The 19,090-nt window shown below is 44.4% G+C and overlaps 1 protein-coding gene across 2 annotated transcripts in view, besides 3 other annotated features; it reads left to right on the top strand.

Annotated features, from left to right (window-relative positions):
* Positions 9,851-10,351: an enhancer, noted in NCBI's record as "H3K27ac hESC enhancer chr3:183280829-183281329 (GRCh37/hg19 assembly coordinates)". NCBI's record gives its function as "activates a minimal SCP1, AML or CMV promoter by ChIP-STARR-seq in naive H9 embryonic stem cells {active_cell/tissue: H9 hESC(naive)}" and the evidence as "EXISTENCE:reporter gene assay evidence [ECO:0000049][PMID:30033119]".
* Positions 10,352-10,852: an enhancer, noted in NCBI's record as "H3K27ac hESC enhancer chr3:183280328-183280828 (GRCh37/hg19 assembly coordinates)". NCBI's record gives its function as "activates a minimal SCP1, AML or CMV promoter by ChIP-STARR-seq in naive H9 embryonic stem cells {active_cell/tissue: H9 hESC(naive)}" and the evidence as "EXISTENCE:reporter gene assay evidence [ECO:0000049][PMID:30033119]".
* Positions 12,668-12,717: a silencer, noted in NCBI's record as "silent region_14942". NCBI's record gives its function as "represses an Ori minimal core promoter by ATAC-STARR-seq in GM12878 lymphoblastoid cells {active_cell/tissue: GM12878}" and the evidence as "EXISTENCE:reporter gene assay evidence [ECO:0000049][PMID:35858748]".
* The window catches only part of KLHL6 (kelch like family member 6), a 68,156-nt gene continuing 66,751 nt past the window's right edge, over positions 17,686-19,090 (top strand). For both annotated transcript variants that reach the window (XM_011513274.4, NM_130446.4), the window contains exon 1: positions 17,686-18,031. In XM_011513274.4, the coding sequence (XP_011511576.1) occupies positions 17,739-18,031 (293 nt within the window). In that variant the 5' untranslated portion in view covers positions 17,686-17,738. The remainder of the gene's footprint in view (positions 18,032-19,090) is intronic.

The raw sequence follows: 19,090 nt of genomic DNA, 5'->3' as shown, positions 1-19,090 counted from the left end.
ATAAATATTGCTTAAACTCAAATTCCGGAAAGGGGCCAGTTTAAAAGTCCTCCTTGTTCATATTTTCTTGGACATGGTGATGACTCAGAACGAAGCCCACAGAGAAAGGGGCAGCCTGGTGAAAGGGGTGCACTTTGTCCAATTTAGACATAGAAATGACTTCCCGTTAAAGTGGGTTATTTTGAGAGGGTTAGAAATAATTTACATGTCAGTCAGTCAGTAGCCAAAATGGTTTTCATTATGTCTGGAGGAAATTCATGTCTCTGTTCTTCTTTGCCTAGGGTTTGAAACTTTGGTTATTTATTAATAGTTGCTATTTATTTAGCACTACTGTATGTCAGGTGCGGTACTAAGAACTTTCCATAATGAGCCCTCATTTAACAGCCACAACAAGGTGATGAGATGAGTAATCCATTTTATAGATGAAGAAACTGAGGATCCAAAAACTTAAGGAAATTACCCGAGGCCCTACTCTGGTAGATGCTACAAGTGCTGTTCAAATTCAGGTCTGTCTGACTCTGGAGTTCACGCCCTTTCCAGTGGGCACCGGTCTGCCTTCCTGCTTCCTCAAATAGGGCCCCAAGACCCCTAAAATGAGGTGATGGATCTTCTGGCTCTCCCCACACTAGGATTCTGTCTCCAAGTCTGAACACTCAAAATCCCAAAGATCTCTCTGAGAATGTGATGGCTAAAATTTTCGGTCTCCGGTTTGAATCTGATAATATACCTTCCCATACCATGCTGAAGGAGCACTTTGCAAAGTGGCAGTGGGACAGTCAGAAGTGAGCAGGGAGTTTTAAGTCCTGCCACCCTCAATTTCTCTTGCCATATTTGTACCTGGAAGGATTAGTGTAATGATAAACTTATTATGGATAAATTATATTGGCTATTTAGGGCATTTTGAATAGCGTTTTCTTATATATGCTGTCTACAATGCTGAGCAGCAGTGCTGTTAACCCTAACTGGGACTTGTCTGAAAGTCTTTTTTAAATGTGTTAAATGTTTCTACGTATTTTTTTCAGAATTATAAAACATCAGAGCTACTGTGTCATATTCAGGTTCCAAGACATTAAGTCTAGAAGAACTTTGGTTAATTCAGCGATCTCTGAATAATGTGGACGATACTCCCATGAAAATATATGAAAGCTTTCCTTGAAATGTAGAGTGAAAAAGCAGATTTTATTAACCTATTATTTTCCTCATTTTCCCCCTCTCATCTAAAAATATATTAAAATTCTGTAGCTTGAGAGTTCAAACAGACTTGAACAGATTTCTTTACTCTAGATGAAGTGTCTTAAAGATGGAAAGGCCTATTGGCAGCTTCAGAATGAGAGTGATTGGAAGTCCCTGGCCCCTAACTTCCTGCCCTGTGTGATACCTTGGTCTTGTCCTTAGCTGATCAGGTTCACAACATTAATTCTAATGGCACCAGCACAGCCAGAGGTGACCATCACTTGGGGGGATTTATTTACTCAATTGGAGGTTGTTGTAAGATTGAGTTCTTGAGGAAGCAATGACAGTGGGTGTAGGTAGCAGTGGCATCCAGTGCCCGGTACCAGCAGGGTCGGTGGTGCAAACTGCAGCATCTCACACTGGGGGATGATGAGAGTGGTATCCTAGCCAGGCAAGTCCTTTAGAGTGATTTTGAGCCTTGTTTTTGACTGCATCTTTCAAGTCTAGTTCTTCCTCCATGCTGGATTTTTGTGTGACCCCCATATGGTCCCTCAAACATTTTAAATTTAAAACATAAAAGTGGCTGGGCGCAGTGGCTCATGCCTGTAATCCCAGCACTTTGGGAGGCCAAGATGGGTGGATCACCTGAGGTCAGGAGTTTGAGACCAGCCTGAGCAACATGGTGAAACCCTGTCTGTACTAAAAATACAAAATTAGCTGGGTGTGGTGGCGGGCGCCTGTAGTCCCAGTTACTCAGGAGGCTGAGGCAGGAGAATGGCGTGAACCCGGGAGGCGGAGCTTGCAGTGAGCCAAGATCGCGCCACTGCACTCCAGCCTGGGCGACGTTGTGAGACTCCGTCTCAAAAAAAAAAAAAAAAAAAACAAACAAAACAACAACAACAACAAAAAACAAACGAAAGAAAGGTACTTTTTTTAGCTGATTTTTTAAACTTTTTTTTTAAATGTTAACATTTTAAAGTGTATGGTCCAGCAGTGTTAGAGTACATACACATTATTATGCAGCCAATCTCCAAAACATTTTTTTCTTTGTCTCTCTCTCTTTTTTTTTGTTTTTGTTTTTGTTTTTTGAGACGGGGTATTGCTCTCTTGCCCAGTCTGGAATAGATGCAGTGGTGCCATCACAGCTCACTGCAGCCTTGACCTCCTGGGCTCAAGCAATCCTCCTGCTTCAGCCTCCCCCGTAGTTAGGACCACAGGTGCAAGCCATCACACCTGGCTGAATTTTTTTTCTTTTTTCTTTTTTTTTTTTTGAGACAAAGTCTTGCTCTTGTCTCCCCAGGCTGGAGTGCGATGGCACAATCTCGGCTCACTGCAACCTCTGCCTCCTGGGTTCAGATTACAGGCGCCTGCCACCACGCCCGGCTAATTTTTGTATTTTTAGTAGAGACGGAGTTTTACCATGTTGGCCAGGCTGGTCTAGAACTGCTGACCTCAGGTGATCCATCCGCCTTGGCCTCCCAAAGTACTGGGATTATAGGCATGAGCCACCGCACCCGGCTGGCTGATTTTTTTTTTTTTTTGTAGAAACGAGGTCTTACTATGTTGCATAGGCTAGTCTTGGGAACTCCTGGGGTGAAGCAGTCCTCCTGCCTCGGCCTCCCAAAGTGCTGGGATTACAGGCAAGAGCCACCGAGTCTAGCCCAAAACATTTTTCATCTTGCAAAATTGAAACTCTGTACCCATTAAACAGTAACTACCCATTTCCCCCTTCCCCCAGCCCCCGGCAACCACCATTCTTTGTGTCTCTATGAATCTGAGAACTCTAGGTCCCTCATATAAGTGGAATTATGCAGTAGTTGTCCTTTTGTGTCTGGCTTATTTCACTTAGCATAATCTCCTTAAGGTTCATTTACATTGTAGTATGTGTCAGAATTTTCTTTCTTTTATTAGAACCCAGAAACAAATCCACACGCCTACAGTGAACTCATTTTTGACAAAGGTGCCAAAAACATACACTGGGGAAAAGAGAGTCTCTTCAATAAATGGTGCTGGGAAAACTGGATATCCATATGCAGAAGAAGGAGACTAGACCCCTACCTACTATCTTGCCATACAAGAAAATCAAATCAAAATGGATTAAAGACTTAAGTCTAAGATCTCAAACTTTGAAACTACTACAAGAAAACATTGGGGAAAATCTCCAGGACATTGGTTTGGGCAAAGATTTCTTGAGCAATACTCCACAAGCACAGGCAACCAAAGTAAAAATGGACAAATGGGATCACATCGAGTTAAAAAGCTTCTGCACAGCAAAGGAAACAATCAACAAAGTGAGGAGACAACCTACAGAATGGGAGGAAATATTTGCAAACTACCCATATGACAAGGGATTAATAATCAGAATAGATAAGGAGCTCAAACAACTCAATAGGAAAAAGTCTAATAATCCGATCAAAAAATGGGCAAAAGATTTGAGTAGACATTTCTCAAAAGAAGACATACAAATGGCAAACAGGCATAGGAAAAGGTGCTCAGCATCACTGATCATCAGAGAAATGCAAATCAAAACTACAATGAGATATCATCTCAACCCAGTGAAAATGGCTTATACCCAAAAGGCAATAACAAACGCTGGCGAGGATGTGGAGAAAAGGGAACCCTCCTACACTGTTGGTGGGAATGTAAATTAGTACAACCCCTATGGAAAATAGTTTGGAGTTTCCTCAAAAAACTAAAAATTGAGCTACCATATAATTCAGCAAGTCCACTGCTGCGTATGTACCCAAAAGAAAGGAAATCAGGATACTGAAGAGAGATCTGCCCTCCTGTGTTTGTTTCTGCACGGTTTACAATAGCTAAGATTTGGAAGCAACCTGTGTCCATCAGCAGATGAATAGATAAAGAAAATCTGGTACATATACACAATGGACTACTATTCAGCCATAAAAAAGAATGAGATCCAGTCATCTGCAACTATTTGGATGGAACTGGAGATCATTAAGTTAAGTGAAATAAGCCAGGCACAGAAAGATAAACACCCCATGTTCTCACTTATTTGTGGGATTTAAAAATCAAAACAATTGAACCCATGGAGAAAAAGAGTAGAAGGGTGGTTACCAAAGGCCGGGAGGGGTAGTGGGGAGTTGGGGGTGGGGAGGTGGGAATGGTTAACGGGCACAAAATATAGAAAGAATGAATAAGACCTACTATTTGATAGCACAATAGGGTGACTATTGTCAATGCTAACTTAATTGTGCATTTTAAAATAACTTAAAGAGTATAATTGGATTCTTTGCAACTCAAAGGATAAATGCTTGAGTGCATGGAGACTCTATTCCCCATGATGTGCCTGTTTCACATTGCATGCCTGTATCAAAACATCTCAGGTACCCCGTAAATGTATACACCTACTATGTACCCACAAAAATAAAAAAATATATAAAAAAGAACTTCCTTCCTTTTTAAGGTTGAGTAATGTTCCATTCTCTCTATACCACATTTTGTTGATCCTCTGTCAATGGACACTTAGGTTGTTTCCACCTTTTGGCAATTGTGAATAATGCTGCTATAAACACAGATTTTTTTCTTTTTAAATCCAAGATGCAAGCAAGATTTACATCCCAATATTCTGTTAATAAATTCTGCTTCTCCTAAAAATCAGTTAACGTTGATCTGTTGCTAGTCACCAGGGACTCAGACCAGCCAAATGTACGTGGGACAGCATACTACACTGTATGTGGTAGTGCTTGACTAATAAACCTGATTCTCTGTAATCCCAGCACTTTGGGAGGCTGAGGCGGGCGGATCATGAGGTCAAGAGATTGAGACCATCCTGGCCAACATGGTGAAACCCTCTCTCTAATAAAAATACAGGCCGGGCGCAGTGGCTGACGCCTGTAATCCCAGCACTTTGGGAGGCCGAAGCGGGCGGATCACGAGGTCAGGAGATCGAGACCATCCTGGCTAACACGGTGAAACCCCGTCTCTACTAAAAAAAATGCAAAAAATTAGCCAGGCATGGTGGTGGGTGCCTGTAGTCCCAGCTACTCGGGAGGCTGAGGCAGGAGAATTGCTTGAACCTGGGAGGCGGAGGTTGCAGTGAGCCGAGATGTTGCCACTACACTACAGCGTGGGCAATAGAGCAAGACTCTGTCTCAAAACAAAAACAAAAACAAAAAAAACAAAAAAAAACCTGATGCTAAATACATTAACTCAGAGGGGTGTTGGTGAGCGTGAATGCTGCTTCCACACCTGATGTATCCTGGCATTAGCCTCACACTACTGGCCTCTCTCCATTCTCACACTCCTCCCTCATTCTGCCACAAGGAAAATGGTGAAAATAGATGCTGTGTATATGGCCCAGCCTTTTCTTCTCCTCCACCTTTGGGAGTGGCTACTCTACAGCACTTTCTGCTTTGTAATTCTGGAGGTGAGATGGGGCAGGAGCCAGCCCTGATTCAGTGTTGCCATAACTGTGTGGATAATCTGTTGATTATACTGTTTGGCTCTCCGACTTAGCTAGAACGAAGTATTTGGTACTCATCTCCTAACTCTTTGTTTTACTTCTCAGCTGGTTCATCTCCAGGATGAAGGGGGGAAAGGTTGCTGCTTTTTTGGGCCCTTAAAACACCTCAATTATCTGAGAGACACCTGGATCCCAAACTTGACCATCTACCTACATGGTGAACCATTTCCTGTTGCATAAGTCTGCTCAGGACACCAAATTGCAATATGGAAGATGGCTAGATCTGAGCAGACCCATGTAAGAGAAATTTCGTGTTGCCAAAGAGATATTAGCATCAAACTAATTTGGCTTTCCAGACTCTAGGGACATTCCTGTTGAGATCACTAATTCCAGCTATGAGAAGCAGAGTATACCCCCGTCCCTGGCACCCTCTGCTACAGATACAAGGAGAATTTTTACGTTTTCTTTCTAGATTCCATTTAGAAAAAAACTCCAAACACTGCTTATTGCTGAAAACCTGGGAAAAATGGAAAAACACAAAGAATAAAACAAAAAAACATACAAAAGCTTATCACCCAGAAATAACCGCTTTAAAAGTTTTGGCACACTAATTTATATCTCCGACCCAAATGTCTTTCAGTTCTAAACTTGCATATTAAATATCCTACCTGATAGCACGTCTTGAATGTCACAAACTCTCCAGACTCAGCATGACCAAGCATTAACTCATACTCTTCACCCCCAAACCTGTTTCCTTTCCAGCGTTCTCCATTTCAGAGGGTTGGTACCTCTGTTTATCCAGCTGTTCACACTAGAAACCTAGGTCATTCTTGAAAATTCCTGTTCCTTTACCTTCCACATCCAATCCTTCACCAAGTCTTATTGATTTTAGCTTTGTTTTTTATTTTTTATTTATTTTTTATTTTTGAGGTGGAGTCTCACTCTGTTGCCCAGGCTGGAGTGCAGTGGTGTGATGTTGGCTCACTGCAACCTCCGCCTCCCAGGTTCAAGCTATTCTTCTGCCTCAGCCAACTGAGTAGCTGGAGTTACAGGCATTACAGGTGCCCGCCACCACGCTTGGCTAATTTTTTTTTTTTTTAAGTAAAGATGGGGTTTTACCATGTTGGCCTGGCTGGTTTCGAACCCCTGACCTCAAGTGATCTGCCAACCTTGACCTCCCAAAGTGTTAGGATTACAGGCGTGAGCCACTGTGCCCAGCCATGATTTTGCCTTTGATATTGCCCTCAAATGCATCTACTTGTCTCTGTCCCTAGCACTACTTCCCAGTTCACGCTGCCATCACCTGCCACCTGGATTAGTGTGATAGATTTTGGACTGGCTCTCTTCTCTTTTATCTCATCTGTGCTGGCCCTTAGTAATTTGTTCTCCATACTGAGACAAATATTTTCAAATTGCAAATTTTGATTATATCTTCCACACCCCACCCCACTTGCTCCCCCAGTCCCTTGGTAGTTTCCCATTGCTTGTAGGATAAAGACAAAACTGCTGAACCTGGTCCCTAGGACCCTGGATAATCTGGCCCTGCCTACCTCTCCCATCCCACATCATTCCCAGCCCAAATTTTCTTCACTCCAACCACTTGGCCTTCTTTCAGTTTCTTATACTTGCTGTAGTCTCTCCTCCAATGGGGCTTTGCCCCTGCTGTAGCCTCTTCCTGGACAACTCTTTTCCCTGCTGTTCATGTGGGTGGTGCATATTCTCCCATCACATCTTGGTCATCAAACAGGCCTTCACTGACCTCTTTGACCACGTCAAATTGCCCCTGAGAAAGGTTCTTCACCAAGTGCATCTCCCTCATGGCATTTAGAATGATTGCAATGTGTGTGTTTTTTTCTTACGATTGATCTCCCTCATTGGACTGTATGCTCCTTGAGGGTAGGAACTGTGTCACTTTTGTTCAGCATTGTATCTGGAGAACAGATTTTTGCACACCATTATATCACTAAATATTAAATATTTGATGATGAGTGAAGGCCTTTCCTTGTGGTCTTTTCATATATATATATGAAAATATGATTATGTGTGTGTATACATACACACACATAATCATATTTGCAAAAATGGCAACATAATGTACATTACTTTTTTTTTTTTGAGATGGAGTCTGGTCCTATCGCCCAGGCCGAGTGCAGTGGCGCGATCTCAGCTCACTGCAACCTCCACCTCCTGGGTTCAAGTGATTCCCTTGCCTCAGCCTCCTGAGTACCTGGGACTACAGGTGCATGCCACCAAGACTGGCTAATTTTATTTTTAGTAGAGACAAGGTTTCACCATGTTGGTCGGGCTGGTCTTGAACTCCTGACCTCAAGTGATCCACCTGCCTCGGCCTCCCAAAGTGCTGGGATTATAGGCGTGAGCTTCTGCACCTGGTCATAATGTACATTAGCTTTTTATAGCTTCCTCCCCTTAGCAATAAGTGAACATTCGGGGGCTGTTCTTATTGACAAAATCCACTTTTTGGAATTTTTGCTGTTTCCCATTTACTCCTTGACTCTTCATTTGCAAAGTACACTTTAGATTTGGATATGGATAGCAGACCTGAATTAGCACTGGCTGCAGCTATGGTATCTGATCCTTTCCTAGGGCCCATCAGTGCACCTGGTGACATCTCTGGTCTGTGGAGGATGGGAGCGCAGAGGTAGTATGTGGGGTCAGATGGATGAACTCCACACCACTGCTCTGCTTCTGTTTCAGGGAGGCTCATTTGGATGAAAAGAACAGAGTCTCAATCAAGCCACATTGAGAAATGTGGGCCCAGGCAGAAATCTCTCTAAAATTCATGAGCAGAGCCCTCATTGGAGCAGGAGGGTGGGTCCAGATCCACAGTGGGCTCAGGACTTCAGCAACAGGAGCCCATGGTCTTCCTTCCACCCAGCCTCAGGGTGACCTGTCTCAGCTACTTTCTGCATATTGGCTTCAGTCTCCTTTTTATGCCTTCTGGGTCCCTCTGCTTACTAACAGTTTTTGCTTTTCAGAAGTTTGGCTTGCACAGGGCTTTAGCTTGCCATGGCTCTGACCCTACCTCGTGGATCTCTTGATGAATCCTTTTGCCTCCTGTTTCTGCTGCCAAATGGCAAACTCTGTGTTCCTTATTTCAAATTTCAGAGAGAGGGAGGGAGGGAGGGAGGAAGAGAGAGACTCCAATGGTTCTATCTGATTTTTTTTGAGACATGGTCTCACTCTGTTGCCCAGGCTAGAGTGCAGTGGTGTGATCATGGCTCACTGCAGCCTCCGCCTCCCAGGCTTCAGAGATCATGCCGCCCCAGCCTTCTGAGTAGTCGGAACCACAGGCGTGCACCACCACATCCAGCTAATTAACAAATTTTTTGTAGAGACAGGGCCTCCCTATTTTGCCCAGGCTGGTCTTGATCTCCTCGGCACAAGCTGTCCACCTGCCTTGGCCTCCCAAAGTGCTGGGATTACAGGCATGAGGCATCAGGTGAGGCCCCATCTGACATTTTTGAGCCAGCTGTACGTGTCCTTGAACTAATCTCTGTACTTGGCTGTCTTTGGGTGGGGGGCGCTCACTCTAGTCCAAGTAATAAGGGGAAACAGCTGAGTCATGTGGTACCGGAAAATGGCTTCCTGGGGAATAGAGGATGTGGGCTGGTAACTTTTCATTAGAATAGGGCATGGGCGGCCAAACACTACTACTGACTTACCTGTGTGACCTGGGACAAAACAGCCAACTTTGGTTTTAAGCCTGGGTTTCCTCAGTTGTAAAAAGGAAAATAATCTATTTTATCAAGTTACAGGATAAAAGGATATAAAATGAGGAAAGGTACACAGAACACTTTGTAACATCTCAATAAATGGTGCTCTTAGTACTAGTATCATCTATAAAATACTTTTTTTCAAAATGGCTCTCTAATTCAGGCTCTTTAAAGGAACATTGTCCCAGATGGATAAATCCTTCTACGGATTGTTATGACTCTGGTTAGAATAATGTTCTGATGCAGAGGGTTGGGTGATGGAAATCTTTATTTCCCTGGGGAGGTGGTGGTGTATGGACCCATCTACACTGACTATGTGAAAATGATCCAAGATAACATGGGAAAAATAGATGGCCTGTAGATACTAACAAAGGGCATTGAAGGAGTTTTTGGTCTGAAGCCAGAAGCCTGATTTAGAATCAAATGTACACACTTTTTCTTCTACAGAAGGGTTTGCATAATAATAGCTAATGCTTACATAGTGCTTAATATATGCCAGCCATTGTTCTACAGGCTTCACGTATTTCCTTATTTCTATAACACATTGAGGTGGATACTATTATTACTTCCAATTTGTAGGTATATGAAACTGAGGCATTGACCTGTTTTGTTTTGTTTTTTTCTCTTTTTTTTTTTTTTGAGACGGAGTCTCGCTCTATCGCCCAGGCTGGAATGCAGTGATGCAATCTTGGCTCACTGCATCCTCCGCCTCCCTGGTTCAAGTGATTTTCCTGCTTCAGCCTCTGGAGCAGCTGGGACTGCAGGTGCGTGCCACCATACCCAGCTGATTTTTGTATTTTTAGTAGAGATGGGGTTTCACCATGTTGGCCAGGATGATCTCAATCTCCTGACCTGGTGATCCGCCCGCCTTGGCCTCCCAAAGTGCTGGGATTACAGGCATGAGCCACCGTGCCCAGCCTTGAAACTATAATCAACTGACCTTACTTTGACCTTATGCCTGTCTGCAGTCCTTGGTTCTCTGGGCTTGTATTGCTGTTCCTCTAGGACTGGAGTCTTGCCTTGCTCCTCCCACTTCCTTCCAGAGACAGTGTTCTTCCATGAACTCCAAACCGGAAGGCTAGCTCCCTTAGGGCTGCCACCAGACCCCTTAATAACTTGGGCAAGCCTGGTCAAGAGGCAAACCAGGACACAACGCCATCCTGGGACAAGCGTGAGGCTACATGGGATGGTCCAAAAGTTAGTATCTGTCGGGAAATTCCCTTTATGAGAAAACTAGATTGGCCTCAGGGCAGGTATAGAAGCTGGAAGGTGCCAAGCTGGGCTGCAGAAGTGGCTTTTTTTTTGCTTTATTTTTTTTGCTGATGGGAGCAGATGTGGCTTCTATAGCGAGAACTTGGAGGTGAGGACCACACTGGGGTCTGCAGAGGAAGAGTGGTACAGCATTTGGGCCTGGCAGATGAGTGTCCCAATACTGCTCTGCCTCTGTTTCGGGTAAGTGCGTTTGCCTGTAAGGAGCAGAGACACAATCAATCTACTTCATGAAAAGGGGGTCAGGCAGAATCTCTCTGAAATCCAAGAGTAGAGCCCGAACTGGAGCTGGAGGGAGGTGCACATGCAAGGAGGCCGCAGGACCTCGGCAATCTAAAGAGGAGGGTGGGGTCACAGTGGGGTGATAGTGAATGTTCAGCAACTGGCTCTCAAGGACAAAGCCCTGATTCATAGCATTTATCAATTTCTATGGTGTAAATATCCCTATCATGGCTAATTTCAACCAACACCAAGTCACTGCCCTTGAAGTGAGGAAGAAATGCACAAAATCAACTCCCTAGGGTCAGTACAAGTCTACTGCAGCATACCAAATGTTAATTTTGATTCTTTTCTGAATTTTCCAGGTTTTCAACAAGGTAACTTATTATTGTTTCATAACCAGAAAAACACCCAGCAAAAGTTAATTTTTTAATAAAAGAAATGTGGGGTTTTGGGGTGGGATGAAAAATGGGATGTGGTTTGTTAAGGACAAACTTCCCTGATTTCACTACTTGTTGAGGGTAGACGGTCAGCCTTGGCTTTTACCATCTCTTGCCTCTATGCCTTCTTTTTCTTTTCTTTTCTTTTTTTTTTTTTTTGAGACTAGGTCTTGTTCTGTTGCCCAGGCTGGAGTGCAGTGGTGTGATCTCAGCTCACTGTAACCTCCACCTCCCAGGTTCAAGTGATTCTCCTGCCTCAGCCTCCAGCGTAGCTGGTATTATAGGCCCCCACCATCATGCCTGGGTAATTTTTTTGTATTTTTAGGGGAGACAGGGTTTCACCGTGTTGGGCAGTCTGGTCTTGAACTCCTGACCTCAAGTGATCTGCCCACCTCCACCTCCCAAAGGGCTGAGATTACAGGCATGAGCCATAGCACCCGGCCTCAATCAATCCTACCTCAGCCTCCCATATAACTGAAACTACAGGCATGCGCCACTGTGCCCTGCTAATTTTTGTATTTTTGGCAGAGACGCTGATCTCGAACTCCTGAGCTCAAGTGATCTGCCCGCCTCAGCGTCCCAAAGTGCTGGGATTACAGGCGTGAGCCACCACACCCGGCCTTACTTCCACCATTTTGCGGACATTGTTTTAAGGAGAGGTTGCTCAGAACCACCTGGTAGGGGTCTTGGGAATACCTGGCTTTCCTAAGTTCAGGTCCGCAGCGGACATGTCAGGGTAACGCCTAGGGACCAGGCTGGGTGGTCCTGAATAGAAAGTTAAAAAATTATAACTCATATATGACAAGCCTTTTATTACGTTGACTAGAAACATTATGCTATGGAAAGCGTGTGTTGTACGCAGAATTTGTAAGAGGAAATAAAGCCTTAATGCCGCTCTTTTAAAAAGAATCCCCTCTGGATGAAATTATAAAACACTTGGCTCTGGGTTCTGCTTTGTTCTTGGATTTTGATATTTGGGCTCACCACTTCCATCAGGCTTGTCTTTCTCCTCCGGCAACTTCCCAACTTCCTGTTTGGGATTCAGGCAGACCCCGTGTCATTGTTTTGGATGAAGGCATCTATCTTTCGTTATTATTATGACGGGATGTGGTTGGCAAGAGGAGTTGGCCTGAGGAGCCCAGGGCCAGGCATTTGATGAGCAGGAGCCTGGGAGCACTGGGCACCCTTGAATCAGGCGGAGGAAGAGGCCAGGCCAGCGGCGTCTGCGGGAGGCCGCGATTGGGAGAGGCCGGCACACTCTACCTGGGAGCTGAGGATACTCAGAGGAACCCTGACCTGAGGTAAAAGCTGCAGCTTCTCTGTTTTCTGGGCCCTCAGGTATTAACTGGAACCAGAAAGAGGCCACAAGATGGCAGGCAAAGCTGGTCTTGTCTGAGGCATGGGTGGATATTTCATTTGCCTCACACTTATCAGGAAGACGTGAAGTCCTGAGTGTGCTCCTTCAGCATGGGGTGGGGTGTCAGGCGCTGGCTCAGGAGCTGGAAGTCTGGAACTGCAGTCCCATTCAGCTACTAACTAGCAAAGTGCTGGCATCAATGCATGTTGACTATTATTGTTATGGTTGTTATTACCTTTGTGTTGTCAAATAAAACATGGAAAATGATACAAACAAATGTATAGCTTAGTGAATTATTATAAGGCACACAATACTGTTGTAAACACCACTAAGGTCAAGAAATTGAACTTTGCCAACTACCCCAAATCTCTTTCACGTGTCCCTACCCAAACACAGCCCGGTGAAGGGACATGTTTGGTGTGTTCCATCCAGGTTTTGGCTTGGGATGTATTTAGTTGGAGGATGCCTCAAATGTTAGACCCTCAAGTGTAGATGTTAAGTAAGCAGTTGGATACCAATGTTTATCTAGTTATTGTAGCACAGAGCCTAGAGATAATCCAAGTTATCCAAGCCTGGAGATTATCCAAGTTATCTCTAAGCTTTGTGCTGTGATAATTAGATAAATATTGGCTTACTATTTGTTGAAACATCATTACAACCATCAGAAACATTAAGAAAAGATGTCTATTTCCCAGAACACAAAGAACAGGCAAAGATATATTAGGAAAAGTAAATGAAAAGAAAGCAGGAGTGGCAATAGAAACTCCAGACAAATCAGAAAATTATTTAAAGAAAAAAATTAACAGGATAAACAGGGATATTTAATACTAATAAAAGGTACAATCAATAGCAAGGATATAACAACACCGTACTTTGAACAGAGATTTAGAGCATTAAAATATATAAAGCAGAAGAGAGTGACTAGGGAGTAAGGTTTGATATCTATGTATAGGAGAAAGGTCACAGAAGCTGGGGATAGGGTATGGCATGGAATCTGTGTTGACCCTACCTCTTTCAGTGAGGCCCTCTTAGCTAAGCAGGAGGCCACCAGTGGGGCCAAGTGGGAGTCCTGGAGCCCAGCTCTGACATATGCAAAAATCTTAGACCCTCTTGAATTCCCACCTTTCTCCTCCTACCCTCCTGTCCTGTCTTACCTCAGTCTCCTTCATTCACCTGGCTTCATCTCTGCTTCACCTTGACACTGAAGTCTAAGGGCAGATTCAGTTTAACTAACTGGACCCTCCATAGTTTTTTTTTTTTTTTTTTTTGAGACGGAGTCTCACTCTGTCACCCAGGCTGGAGTACAGTGGCGCGACCTCGCCTCACTGCAAGCTCTGCCTCCTGGGTTCACACCATTCTCCTGCCTCAGCCTCCCAAGTAGCTGGGACTATAGGCGCCCGCCACTACACCCGCCTAATTTTTTGTATTTTTAGTAGAGATGGGGTTTCACCGTGTTAGCCAGGATGGTCTCGATCTCCTGACCTCGTGATCTGCCCGTCTCGGCCTCCCAAAGTGCTGGGATTATAGGCGTGAGCCACCGTCGCCAGCCGACCCTCCATAGTTCCATTGAACACAGCTTAACATATGACTTTTTTTTGCTTTTTTGTTTTGTTTGTTTGTTTGTTGAGACAAGGTCTCCGCTCTGTTGCCCAGGCTGGAATGCAGTGGTGAGAACATGGCTAACTGCAGCCTCCACCTCCTGGGCTCAAGCAATCCTCCCGCCTCAGCCTTCCAAGTAGCTGGGACTACAGATGCATGCCACCATATATGACTAATTTTTTTATTTATATTTTTTGTAGAGATGGGGTTTTGTCATGTTGCCCAGGCTGGTCTGGAACTTCTTGGCTCAAGCAATTTTCTTGCATTGGCCTCCCAAAGTGCTGGGATTACAGGCGTGAGCCACCACACCTGGCCCAAGCATATAACTTTTGGAAGCTGACCTTGGCCGCCTGCCAGGTCTCAATTTAAATTCATGACTATTAATCTTAAAAAGGGCGAGAAAGGAAAGATTAGGTCAGATCAGAAAGTAAAAATTTGCCCTCCCATTCATCAGGCTAGGAAGTCAGACACAGATGAAACATTAAAAAGAAACAACGTTTCTTCAAAGATTAGGTCAGATCGGAAAGTAAAAAATCTGCCCTCCCATTCATCAGGCTAGGAAGTCAGACACAGATGAAACGTTAAAAAGAAATAACGTTTCCTTAAGTGACTCCTTGCAATTATAAATGTGTCATAAGGATACCCTTCGTGGGTGACTACTTATTCTTACTGAGAAAAATTGTTTTCTAAAAATCACAGACCATCAGAAACTTTGTTGTTTGCCATTGTGTCAGTAAGAATGAGATCTCATAGTTGTCTGGAAGATCTAAATCACTTTGACACTGGGAAGCAGTCTCAATTTCCAACTCAGATACGGGGCTTCTGAATACAACATTCCACATCTATCTCAATTTTGTAGTTTCCAGGGAGAAAAGACTTTGGGTCCACTGTAAAGTCTAGACTTAATGTTTATCCTTTTACAGATAGTCCCACTGTGCTTTGAACCTATCTTGATACTGTTCATTTACATTTAACCTAAACTTGGGGCAGGTGCGGTGGTGTGAGCCTGTAGTCCCAGCACTTTGGGAGGCCGAGACGGGTGGATCGCTTGAGCCCAGCAGTTCAAGACCAGCCTGGCCAACATGGCAAAACCCTGTCTCCACTAAAGATACAAAAAATTAGCCAGGTGTGGTGGTGCATGCGTGTAGTCCCAGCTACTTGGGAGGCTGAGGCAGGAGAATCGCTTGAACCTGGGAAGCGGAGGTCGCAGTGAGCTGAGATCGCACCACTGTACTCTAGCCTGGGCAACAGAGTAAGACTCCGTCTCAAAAACAAACAAACAAACAAACCTAAACTCCAAATTTTCTTGTAATTTTTATTAGAGTAAAATAAACCTATAAATGTATTCGGAAAGAATTGGTCCTTTTAATAATATTTAGTCTTTCCATAAAGGAACTTGGTATATTTATTTAAGTTTTCTTTCGAAACTCTTAGTAAAGTTTGTTAGTTTTCTTTATGTTGCTGGTTGCTGTTATTGCTAGGCATTTACATATGTTTTATTACCATTGTGAATGGCATTATTTTTCCATGACTTTTTTTTTTTTTTTGAGGCAGAGTTTCGCTCTTATTGCCCAGGCTGGAGTGCAATGGCACAATCTCAGCTCACTGCAACCTCCACCTCCCGGGTTCAAGCGATTCTCCTTCCTCAGCCTCCCAAGTAGCTGGGATTACAGGTGTACGCCACCGCGACTGGCTAATTTTTGTATTTTTAGTAGAGATGGGGGTTTCACCATGTTGCTCAGGCTGGTCTTGAGCTCCTGACCTTGTGATCCCCCTGCCTTGGTCTCCCAAAGTGCTGGGATTACAGGCATGAGCCACCACGCCCGGCCGTCAGGTTTCTTTATATGCTCCATTATAATCTTTTGGGACCACAATTGTATATTCAGTCCATCATCGATTGAAATGTCATTGTGCTGGGCATGACTGTACTTGTGACCGTTAATTTTAGATGTCAAGTTTACTGGGCTAAGAAATACCTAGCAACCTGTTAAAGCATTACCATGGGGCGTGTCTGTGAGGTTGTTTCCAGGAGAGATTAGTGAGTCTGAGTGGACTCGGTAGAGAAGATACACTCTCAGTGTGGGTGGGCACCATCCAATCAGCCAGGGGCCCAGAGAAAACAAAAACAGAAGAAAGGTCGATGTCTCTATCTCCTGAGGCTGGGATACAGTCATCTCCTGCCTTGAACAACAGGACTCCAGGATCCCCTGCCTTTGGACTTCAGGACTTACACCAGTCTCCCCACCCCCTGGATTCTCAGGCCTTTGGCTTTGGACTGAGAGTTATACCATCTTCTCTGGTTCTGAGGCCTTTGGACTTGAACTGAGCTCTCAGCAGTCTGTCATGCGACTTCTCAGTCTCCATAATCACGTGAGCCAATTCCCCTAATAATTTCCCTCTGCTATGCCTCTCTAGGTATCCTTTTGGTTCTGTCTCTCTGGAGTCCATCATCGACTGAAATATCATTATGCTGGGTATGACTGTAATTGTAATGGTTAATTTTAGATGTCAAGTTTGCTGGGCTAAGAAATACCTAGCAACCTGGTAAAGCATTACTGTTGGGCGTGAGAGAACGCTAACTGATACGCTCCTATAACTTCCCCAGGATATCATGGGATTTTAATAATGACAGTTATTACTACTTAACTGAGACATGCAGAGGTAATGAAAATACTTCAGGATCCACCGTTAGATGCACGGTCAGTAGATGTTGGGCTAATCTGAGACGTGCTATGGCAATTCGGTGTAGACCCACCCTGACTCATCCTCTGAGAAGATGCTGTTGATGGAGTTTTGGAAACCATTTCTTCTGTGCCCCCAAAGCATATTCGAAACAATAGACATTTTTTTTGGTGGGGGAAGACATGAAAGTTTGCCATGACGTTGTTTTCCCCTGGGTAGGGAGGAGGATGAAGATAGACGATCTGCAGTGCCGCCAGAAATGAGAATGTCAGGGATAAGTGGGGTTTCCATGGTTTACAAAGCACGGTTGTTGGATCATTGTGGGGTCTCAGACTCCTGGGAGGAGGAAGTGGGAGGATCATAGACTGTCTCCTGTCCATCCCCTCGCTGACGACTTGGGTTATTGAGCCACTAGGAGTACAAATGTGAAGCAGGAGGATTATAGACTGTCTCCTGTCCATCCCCTCATTGACGACTTGGGTTATTGATAGCATTAGGAGTACAAATGTAACAGCCACCACCGGAGGCTTCCTGCTCACGGATATGAGGTGGGAGATGCACCAAAATAAACACACAGCACTCACAGTGGACTCTGAGAGGACACTCCTCTTCCAGAACCCCCTCCCACACACCTATTCTAAGTAATTTCTAACCCTGTGATTACTCACAGAAAGAAGAAGAATAGAAGTTGCTGGCATTTGTAGTAACAGGATGAGAAAGTGCGAGACTTCCTGTTATGTGTGTGTGACAGCTGGTGATAAGTGGAGGGCCCTGCACAGGAAATCCGCTCAGCTCCTGCAATGGGGCCTGCCTGACACTTGGGCGCTCCTTCAGTCTCGATGTTGATGGCAGGACAAAGGGGCGCCTGGACCATGGGTGATGTGGTCGAGAAGAGTTTGGAAGGGCCCCTGGCACCTTCTACAGATGAGCCCTCCCAGAAAACAGGAGACTTGGTCGAGATCTTAAATGGGGAAAAGGTCAAATTTGACGACGCGGGACTCTCCTTAATTCTTCAGAATGGCCTGGAAACCCTGCGAATGGAAAACGCTCTGACAGATGTCATCTTGTGTGTGGACATTCAGGAATTCTCCTGCCACCGCGTGGTGCTTGCCGCAGCCAGCAACTATTTCAGGTCAGCATGCCTAGGACCAGAGTCAAATTGGGTGCAAGTTGCAAGGAAGAGGTGTGTTAGTGTGAGAGCCCAATCTTGAACAGTTGGCCATGATATTTATGGTTTACATATATATTAAGGCTTGTGTGTCTACTTAAAATATAAGAAAGGACACTATCACACTTTATTTTATTATTTATTTATTTATTTATTTTTGAGACGGAGTTTTGCTTTTGTTGCCCAGGCTGGAGTGCAATGGCGCAATCTCGGTTCACCGCAACCTCTGCCTCCTGGGTTCAAGCGATTCTCCTGCCTCAGCCTCCCGAGTAGCTGGGATTTGCAGGCATGCACCACAACACCCGGATAATTTTGTATTTTCAATAGAGATGGGGTTTCTCCATGTTGGTCAGGTTGGTCTTGAACTCCCGACCTCAGGTGATCCACCCGCCTCCGCCTCCCAAAGTGCTGGCATTACAGGTGTGAGACGCTGCGCCCGGCTTATCACACTTTAAATTTTAGGATTTAGGCCACATTAAAAGAGAGATTGGCATCATTTAAAAGCAATGCTTACATTCTATAGTAAACCTTTTGTGTATATTTCCTTGTTCCAAAGGATGGAAAATTACTGAAGTCATGGGGACTTTTTTCCCCCTTGGTCTGACTGGTGTTGGAAACATAATGTTGTCTTTGTTAATCAACAGACATAGAGAAAAAGGATGTGGCCCCTCTTCTGGAGTTGTCAAATGACTTGTTACAAATTAGGGGCTTCTTTATGTGTAGGCAGTGTGGGGAAAGGGAAAGCAGTTACAAAGATGCTTTAGATGGGAGAGGCCTCTAGTTACGATAAACTGGTGATCTCATAGTGGGAAGGCCTGAAGTCAGGAGACTTGGTTCCTTCTTGACAGTGAAACTTTAGGCAAGTCACAAAGTGCTCTGAATGTCTGTTTCATCATCTGTAAGGTGAGCACAATGATGATCACCTTTCAGGGCTGTCATAATTAAACAAGAGCGTGAAAAGGGTCCTACACAGTGTCTAGCATATAGTAAGTAGATGCTCAATATATCTTTCTTGGAATTCTT

The sequence above is a fragment of the Homo sapiens genome, chromosome 3 (assembly GCF_000001405.40).
Source record: "Homo sapiens chromosome 3, GRCh38.p14 Primary Assembly".
Lineage (NCBI taxonomy): Eukaryota > Metazoa > Chordata > Mammalia > Primates > Hominidae > Homo > Homo sapiens.
The sequence above is the reverse complement of the archived record's forward strand: the minus strand, read 5'-3'. Positions and strand labels throughout refer to the sequence as shown.